The sequence below is a fragment of the Homo sapiens genome, chromosome 13 (assembly GCF_000001405.40).
Source record: "Homo sapiens chromosome 13, GRCh38.p14 Primary Assembly".
NCBI classification, from domain to species: Eukaryota; Metazoa; Chordata; class Mammalia; order Primates; family Hominidae; genus Homo; species Homo sapiens.
In genome coordinates, this window is record NC_000013.11 from 91,278,889 (window position 1) to 91,288,712 (window position 9,824).

General features: G+C 38.0%; 1 long non-coding RNA gene across 1 annotated transcript in view; it reads left to right on the forward strand.

Annotated features, from left to right (window-relative positions):
- The window catches only part of LOC105370314 (uncharacterized), a 29,410-nt gene extending 27,196 nt beyond the window's left edge, over nucleotides 1-2,214 (forward strand). The window contains exon 3 of the long non-coding RNA XR_931642.3: nucleotides 2,106-2,214. This is a non-coding gene — a long non-coding RNA (uncharacterized LOC105370314). The remainder of the gene's footprint in view (nucleotides 1-2,105) is intronic.
- The last annotated feature ends 7,610 nt before the right edge of the window (nucleotides 2,215-9,824 follow it).

Below are 9,824 nucleotides of genomic sequence, written 5' to 3' on the forward strand. Positions count from 1 at the left end.
GGCCTTTATTGGGGTGCAGGGTACCCAAGCAGATTTCCCATGAGGAATTCTAATTGATGGAATTAGACATAAGACCCATGAGGCCACACCGTGACTTAGAAGTGATCACTGTGGCACATCTGCATATTCCATGAGAGGTATGAGTGTCAGTGTGATGAGTCCAGTAGGTTGGATCTCTCTGTTTCATAGGGAAGTGGTTAACAGGAGGTGGGTATATAGGGCAGATATCTAGATCGACCACATTGAGGAACTGGCAGGAGGCAGAGAGTTGAAAACTGCATCAAGGGTGACTAAATCCTGTTTCTAGTAGAAGACAGTTAACCCTATACTCAAAATGGATTCAGAGCCAACATAAAATTGCAAGTACCCACTACACCTGTGTCCACTGCAATGGACAATATCTTAATTGGTTCAGGCTGCCGTAATAAAACACCATAAATTGGGTGGCTTAAACAACAGGAATTTATTTTCTCACACTTCTGGAGGCTAGAAGTGTTAGATCAAGGTGCCTGCTGATTTGGTTCCTTCCTGGCTTGCAAATGGCCACCTTCTTACTATATCCTTTTATGTCAGAGAGTGAGAGAAAGAAACAACTCTCTGCTGTCTCTTCTTATGAAAACACTGATCCTATAGGATGAGGGCTTCAGTCTTATGACCTCCTTTAACCTTAATTATTTCCTTAGAGGCCCAATTTCCAAATATAGTCACACTGGGGGTTGGGTCTTCAACATACAGATTTTGGAAAGACACACATATTCAGTCAAAAAAGACAACATCCTCTATAGGTTTCCTCTCATCTGTTTCATATCCCTGGTTCCTCACTCCTATTTCCTAAGATCACTTTCCAAATAAACTATCTGTATACAAGTGGATCAAGTTCTGCTTTCATGAGAACACAGGGTAAGGCAAGAATTGCTTCCAGAAATTTCCATGGCAGCATTGTTTGCAATAGCAAAAAAAAAAGAGGGAAATAACCTAAATGGCAACTGACACAAGAATGAAAAAATAAATTGTGGTATATATGTAATGAAATTAAGTTCTGGAGTTAAAATGGCATAAACACGTCAAAGAATACATATAGTATAATCCCATTTATATAGAATTCAAAAACAGATGAAACTCAACAATATGTTGTTTTTTGTTTAGGGTATAGGTTCATATGTAGAAAGACTATAAAGAAATCAAGGAAATGATAAACACATCATTCAGTGGTTACCCCCAGAAATGAAGAAAGAGAGCTTCAGAGTTATTGGTAATGCATTTCTGAAGCTGAATGCTCGATATATGGGTGTTGGTTTTACTGTTTTTTATCATACACACATACATCTTTACATCATACATATATTACATTTATAGTTATATATGAATATGGTTACATATATTTGCCTGGGCAACAGAATGAGACCCTGTCTTGAAAAAAAAAAAACCCAATATGTGGTTCAATCTTAGGAATTCATGGTCCTGAATAACTAGGCTAATTAATTAAGAGAGATGATAGCAATTTTCCACTTACTATTTTTGCATGCATTTAGCCTTCCTGAAATATGGTTGAAATTTAATTTATATAAAATTATAAATAAGAAATAAATTTATACTATTAAATTTAAATAAAATTAAATCACATATATATAACATACATCACATGTATACATATATCATATTTACAGTTAAATTACATAGTATTTAGCTACATATTGAATTGCATAGCAATTAACTATGTAATTTATTAGGCATTTTAATTAAGATAGTTAATTTAAAAAAAACAAAATATTAGCTTGAAGTATGAAAAGTGGGCTTTTAAAACACAAGCTTTGTTAAATGTTGCATTCATTTAACTTAAAAAAAATGAAACAGCAAAGTTGTTTTCACCAACAACATTTTCCAATTCAACTAGAAGAAATCCTAGGAGGAGAAAAAATATTTCTTTCCTAGGCAGTATACATTTTGAAATCTACCAATGGGAAAACATCTGTCAAGAATGAATTTCAGAAGAAAATTAATTTTATAATTTACCACCTAGATAGCTGCCAAACTTTAGTGACTAAAGCTCTAAACCAAGTGGCAGCAGATCTAACATCCTTTTCTCCTTCCTCTTCACGTTCCAGCTCTGCGACTGGATGCAAGCCAAGATCCTAGATGACTCAATTTTTCACTCTATCAGATGAAGACAATACTTGCCATCTCCCAAATAAAGGTTATGAGGATTAATCTGTCCATAATGCATTTGGAGATCCTTGCAATAAAGATTAAAACCATGTATAAAATTTACTATATTTTATAGGTGTGAGTTTTCAAGATCAGTTATCTTGAAACTGTTTATTCCCTAAGAATTGGGCCTGCAGTTTAATATCCTATGACATGAAATACATGGTTCAATCTTAGTTAGGGATCCACAGTCTTCAATAACTAGGCTTCTGTTGGTATAGTTAATTAAGAGAGATGATAGCAATTCTCCACTTACTATTTTTGCCTGCATTTATCCTTCCTGAAATATGGTTGAAATTTAAAACATGGAAGCTGGTTACTACTTACTCCTAGACACCATCCTAGAAGTAGCACAAGATGGGTCATACGGCTGATTTAAAATCTAGAATATAAATGTGACATAAAATGTAGGATTAATATTTCAAAAAATACACCTGTCCTAGCCAAGGATACTTTTTTCCTTAATTAAAAATGATATCGTTAACATTACAGTTTACTGATTAAATGCCATTTACATATTAGTATTTGCCTATTAGCATTAGGAAGAAAATACCTTCTAACAATTCACATCTGCCTCTTCTCTAAACTCATTAACAATTCCTATTCACCATATTGTAAAGACATTTACTTTCAAGATTTCAGGCTTTAATAGGCCAGGCATGGTGGCTCACCTCTGTAATCCCAGCACTTTGGGAGGCCGAGATGGGAGGGTTGTGTGAGGCCAGGAATTTCAGCAATATAGGGAGACCCCCATCTCTACAAAAAATTAAATACAATTTAAAAATTAACCAGGCGTGGTGGCATATGCCTGGGGTCCCAGCTCCTTGACAGAGGATAAGGTGGAAGGATCGCTTGAGCCTGGGAGGTCTAGGCTGTGCTGAGCCATGATCACACCACTGCACCAGCTTGGGCAACAGAGCAAGACCCCATCTTAAAAAAGAAATTAATGGTTTAAAAAATAGCTTCATGACTCAAGTCACTGCAGCTTCAGAGTTGTTTTAGCTTTTAGATAGATAGAAGTATTTTAGCCTTTCCCATCCTGTGTGCAATTTAACAGCATCCATGAGTGTATTTAACAATATTACTTTTCACCCAAATTCTCCTATTCATTTTTTAAATTCACTTATTTTCACTTATTATTATTCATTCAACAAACATTTATTAAATGCCTACCTACTATGTGCTGAAGCTTTGCTGAGCGAAAAGATGCAAATAAAACATTATCCCTGCCTTCAAAGAAATTCATTGTATAGTAGGCAAGACATAGAAGGAAATATGTGTTTCTAATTCAGTATTTTTTAAATCAACAATTCAAAAAAAAATTAAATGAGTTTTGTAGCATCCATGGTTTTGTAGTGTGATCATGTCACACCCCTGACAGTTTAACCTCTCTGTGGGTTCCATAGGTTTTAGGATAAACTTGGAATTTGTACACATACCCTGCCATAAATGTCCCTTGTTCACCACTACCAGGACAGCTCTTTCCTGCAGTAGAGTGACTTCTCACAGCCCGAGTTGTGCCTTTTCTCTCTTTCTCATCCTTTGCCTATGCTGTGCCCTCTACTTGGCACGCCTGCTGCTAGTGCTTCCTCTTTTGCTAGATTATTCTTATTTTTAGGAGTTTTCTCTGGAAAGCTTCCTCTGACTCCTTTAGCTTTGTCTATGCACCTCTCCTCTTAGCTTCCATGGAATTACATGCATATCATTATTACAGCATTTATCTTTCCCTTTAAGTTATTTCTCCTGGTAGAATATTCAGTCCTTGGAAGCAACACTACCTTATTTATCTTTGAACCTAGTACCTATCACAGTGCTTTCCTTCATAATATCTACTCAATAAACTCCATTGACCTAATGCTTTACAGAATAAATGAATACACTTGTATATAAAGGTAAGTCTGATAGAAGAAGCTATCATAAGGAACTACAAGAGCACATAGAGAAGCTCATAGCTCAAAATGGGTATGAATTTAGGGGGCAGTCAAAGGCTTGAAAGCTCCACTGCTGAGGTGGTGTTTTCTGTGCCGATTTGGAAGAGTGGCTAGGAATAAGCCAGGCACAGTGATAGAGGAAGGAATGCTTGCCGATATGAACTGATGTCCTCATGCTGAAGAAACAGCATGTACAATGGCACAGAGTGGGTGTATCAAAGTCTTTTTCAGAAATTGATCAAGACGGAAATAACTATGTAGTCATAGTCAAAAGGAGAATACAAGGTAGCTGCATTTTTCATTTGGTCATTCCTACTCTTACGTTATAACTGAGCAACTGGGTTCTCCCCACTTCTGTTCATTCTGTTCCCACTTCCTGTCTCTCCTGGCCTGCCTCTCTGCTTCCCTATTATTCTCTCCTCCCATCCCCATCTTCCTTTGCTTATTTTCTTCCTCCTTTCTCTTAAAGCAACAGCTGATTACAAGAGTTTGATCTTGGCTAGGCGCAGTGGCTCACGCCTGTAATCCCAGCACTTTGGGAGGCTGAGGTGGGTGGATCATCTGAAGACGGGAGTTCAAGACCAGCCTGGCCAACAAGGAGAAACCCCATCTCTACTAAAAATACAAAAATTAGCCGGGCGTGGTGGTGCACGCCTGTAATCCCAGCTTCTAGGGAGGCTGAGGCAGGAGAATTGGTTGAACCCGAGCGGCAGAGGTTACAGCGAGCTGAGATCACGCCAGTGCACTCCAGCCTGGACAACAGAGTGAGACTCCATCTCAAAATAATAATAATAATAATTAATAATAATAATAGTAATAGTAATAATAATACAAGTATTTGATCTCTCACAACTCAGAACTTTTTGGAACTTATACACGCTGACCTACTCTATTTTACAGAAAAGGCACATATTGATCAAAACAGACACAACATCTGTAACTTCTTACAGCAGTTACAGCAAAAAATAGGACCCAGTCTCCTAACTTCTAATGTAATACTTTCAGATTCTCTACGATCAAGCTGCTACAACCTTATTCTTCCAGAATTAAAAAAATCTATTTAAGCTCAAGGAAATAGTTTTAAGAAGCTGCTTCCTTTAAGACATGACAACAGTTTTTCTCAATAGGACTGTGAGATCAACTTCCTGGAGATAGCAATTATGTGAATGTGGAACATACATTGTTTGAGAATGTATATGAAGAGTATGAATATTTCCTCCTTGTTAAAATATATTTTTATATCAAAGTGCCATGTATGCAACAGAGTGAGGAATTATTAATGTCTGGCTGGCGTAGGCCTTCATCTTAGGAACCCTGTGTTAGATGGAGTGGCTCTGTTTGTGTGAATTGAGGGGTAAGAAAGCATGGTAAGTGGAGCCAACAAGATGTTTGAGAAACTGCCTCATTCCTGATGAAACCTCAGGTCTTCAGCAAAATTATTAGACAGTTGGAATGTTTGGCGCGGAGCGACCTTTAGTGGAAACTGACACGTGACAGGCCTGTTTGCGTATGTTGGTTTAAATTAGAAGTGAGAAGGCACCTATTGGAGCAGCCACTACGAATACCTGACGAATACCCACCCCTCGTTCTTATTTATTAATAGAACCTCATTTGTTCAGGGTGAAATTGTACCCAGGTACACAGTTCTCATCAATGAGACGCGAGTGATGGACTGATAGGGATTTGGGTTTCCTAATGTAGGTGACTCCTCAATTCCTCCTTTTCCCGTTTTCCTGCCAATAGTATGATCAGGCTATTACCGGTGCAGCAGCCACCTGGCAAGCAGGAGGATAATGAAAATAGAGGACCAGAAAGATGAAAAGAGTCTGAGTCAACGATGACCCTGTGGAGCTAGACTGGGAAAAATTCTCCCCTATTTGACTGAGCCATTGCTGTTGCATTTCTGTTACACGCTGCTAAAGCAGGTCCTAACTGATCAATATACCCAAACATAGGAGAGGGAAGAGACGGACCGTGAAGAAGTAAGCTGGAAGATAATTTGCAGAAATCATGGCGAGGGTGTTGAATTTTTCACAGACCATGAATTGGGAAGTTCGAAGAAACTATACTCCAATTCTGAGGAAAATGGAGGTTCCATTGTAGGTCTTTGCAGCATTGTGTAACAAGCATTTCCGTTTAAGATGGATCTATGTTTGTCCTGGATCTATGTTTGTCTGGCAGAGCCTATAGGTCTTAGGTGGTAGGAATGGCACGAGTCTGTTTACGTGAAAGTCTAAGAAGCCTCTGGCGAACTCATTCTTAAGGGGAAAAAAAGATAGTTCAGTAGAAGATTGTTTCAAGTATAATGGACTTGTCAAACGGAAAACATTATGCGTAGGATTTTTATATTAGATTGCTCTCTAGCCAAATGCCTGAGGACTCCTGCCTGAGTTCAAGGACAAGGAGGCTGCAAAAAGAAAGAGTAAAGCTAAAATGGACATTTTCTAAATACCCTCCCTAGGATGGTTAGCACCCAAAATATCAAAATTCTTGATACTAGTTTGATAGGCATAATTGTGCTGAAGACAATCACTCCAGTGGTGGCAAAAAGATTGCTAAAAGTGACAGGCATTGCAATGACAATTTCAGTGACCTCAGTGTAGTCACTAGCATCTTGGCGTAGAGCTTTGCATGTGCCCTATATATAACATGAGTATCGACACAATCTATGGTAGTCATAATTCTATATAGATGTCTCCTGTCCCAAGATTCCCCAAAGCAAGTTATTCAAACATGAATCTAGGCACTGTGCTAAAGGGACTCTGCAGATGTAATTAAGGTTACTATCAGCTGACCTCAAGGTAGGTTGGGCCCAAGGTAATCACATGAGATCTTAAAAGCCAAGGAGGAAAGTAGAAAAGTAAGGCAGGAGAGATGAGGCAGGAGGGATCAGAGAAAATGAAAGTGTGAGAAGGACCTGACCTGCCATTGCTGGCTTTAGCAATGAAGGCAGCCATGAGCTAGGGAATGTGGGTGGTCTCTAGAAGCTGAGAAAGACCCCACTGCCAGCTATCAAGGAAAAATAATCCCAGTTTAACAGCCACCCAGAACTGAATATTGCCAATAACCTGAAGCCATTTTAAAACAAATTCTTCCTCAGAGGCTCCAGTAGACCATGCAGCCTTCCTAATACCTTGATTTTAGCCCGGCAAGATCCATGTTGGACTTTAGATCTATCAAACTGTGAGATAATAAATTTTATGTTAAGCTGCTAAGTTTTGGTAATTTGTTACAACAGCACAGGAAACTAATACAATATTTTGCCTTTTTGTAATTATTTCTCGGTACAGTCATCTGCCACATAATGACATTTTGGTCAGTAACTGATCACACATATGACAGTGGTCCTGTAAGACTGTAATACCGTATTTCTACTGTACCTTTTCTGTGTGCTTAGTTATGTTTAGGTACACAAGTACATATCATTGTGTCACAACTGCCTACAGTATTTAGTACAGACACATGCTGCACAGGTTTTTAGCCTAGGAGCCATGTGCTCTACCATATAGCCCAGGTGTGTAGTAGGCTATACTATCTAGGTTTGTATAACTACACTCTATGATGTTTGCACAATGATAAAATCACCTAATGATGCATTTCCTAGAATGCATCCCCATCATGAAGTGATATATGACTGTATGTTTTTCTCTCCTGCTAAACTCCCAATCCTTTAGGGCAAGGATAATGTGATCCAGTTATTTACTTGTCTATTTCTACTCCTCCTAACCAAGGCTTCCCCTCTATTTTTTCCTTTTTGATATGAAATTTCCACTGTCTTTCCTTTAAAATATTCATAGTTTGTTTTCAAATATCTTTTCAAGAACAATGGTTGTATTTGATTATTGCTAAGGTCTTATTGCACAAGGGAAAATAAAGTCTAGCTTCATTTGCATCTCAAAAAATAAGAGTTACACTTAAAATAGGCGTGTATATGTTGCGCTGATTCTGCTTACATTGGTTACAAGGTAAAATGTATGTACATTGGTACATACGTTGGTTGCTCCTTACCTTCACGTTCACTGGCAGAGTTGCAGAGATAGTGTTACGCCTCTTTCATCCCTCAGTGATTTAAAGTTGTACTTATATCTTTTCATTACCATTTGAATTTTATTGCTCCTACATTTATTTGTATTTAATTCACGTTCCCAGTAGAAAATATATTTTAAAATAATTTTGTTTTGAAAAAAGGAGAAAATGATATTTTAAGAATCACAAAAGTGAAAACTCATTTCTATTTTAAAGGATTTTTTAAAAGGTAAAATTCTGAGTCTTATGCAGATAAAAAATGAACATATGTGGAAATTTTTATGTAACTCATTATTGATGAGGGAGCTGGTAAGATGTTAAAATCTGTTCAGATAATCCAAAGAATAATCACAATTATAAATCAGAAATACTGAAATGAACATGCAAATAAAGGCAAAATTGCTTCTTCCATAGTACAGAGAAAAAAAAATCTCTTTAACATCACCTAATAGAATATGTTTGCATGGCTATAAACAAGAATTATTTTGCATCGCTATCAGTTATCTACAACAAAGGTATTGTAACACAGATCAATGGCAATAAAAAGTGCAGAGTCTGGTGGCTCACGCCTGTAATCCCTGCACTTTGGGAGGCTGAGGCTGGCAGATCTCTTGACCCCAGGAGTTGAAGACCAGCCTGGACTATATGGCAAAACCCTGTCTCTACACAAATAAATAAATAAATAAATAAATAAATAAATAAAAATACAAAGCTTAGGAGGGCATGATGGTGCAAGCCTATAGTCCCAGGTACCCAGTACTATAGGAAACTACAAACCTCTATTGTTAGATTTGTCATCTATTATTCCGTACAAAAGCATTCTATGGATTCCATTGCTACAGTCATGTTTTGCACATTGGGATATATAAAATAGTGGAGGAATTTTCTGTTTCAGTGGAAATTTATGCATATTTACAGCACACTCTTCCTGGTACTTCTGACTCTATGGGGGCTCTGCACTTTTTTTTTTTTTCCCAGACAGAGTCTCACCCTGTAACCCAGGCTGGAGTGAAGTGGCATGATCATGGCTCACTGTGGCCTCGACCTCCCCTGGGCTCAGGCAATCCTCCCACCTCAGCTTCCCGAATCAGGCACATGCCACCATGCCCAGCTAATTTTTGCATTTTTTTGTAGAGACAGGGTTTTGCCATATTGCTCAGGCTGATTTCAAATTCCTGCGCTCAAGCAATCCACCCTTCTCAGCCTCCCAAAGTGCTGGGATTACAGGCAAGAGCCACTGTACCCTGCCATAAATTTCTTAAATGTAGGAGGAATTAGTGCTTAGGTCTGTAAGACTGTCTAATTCTACTGCTCAGTGTTAGAAATCACACTTGCATCTCACACCAAAGCAGATCTTCCAACCTGGTCTCTATCAGTAACATTGATTTAATATTTGCCGTTTTATTTATCAAAATGTTCAGAGCCATGGGCAAGAAAGAAGGTGCTAACTTAGGAACTCCTCAGATTAAGCATAAACATTCAAGATAATGCTACATTTTTAAAATGTAATATTTGCTATGCTTTGAATGTCCCCTCCAAATCTCATGTTGGAATTTAATTGCCATTGTGAGGATATTAAGAGGTGGATCTTTAAGAGATGATTACATCACAAGGGCTTTGCTCTCATGAATGGATTAATACCATTATCATAGGAGTGGGCTT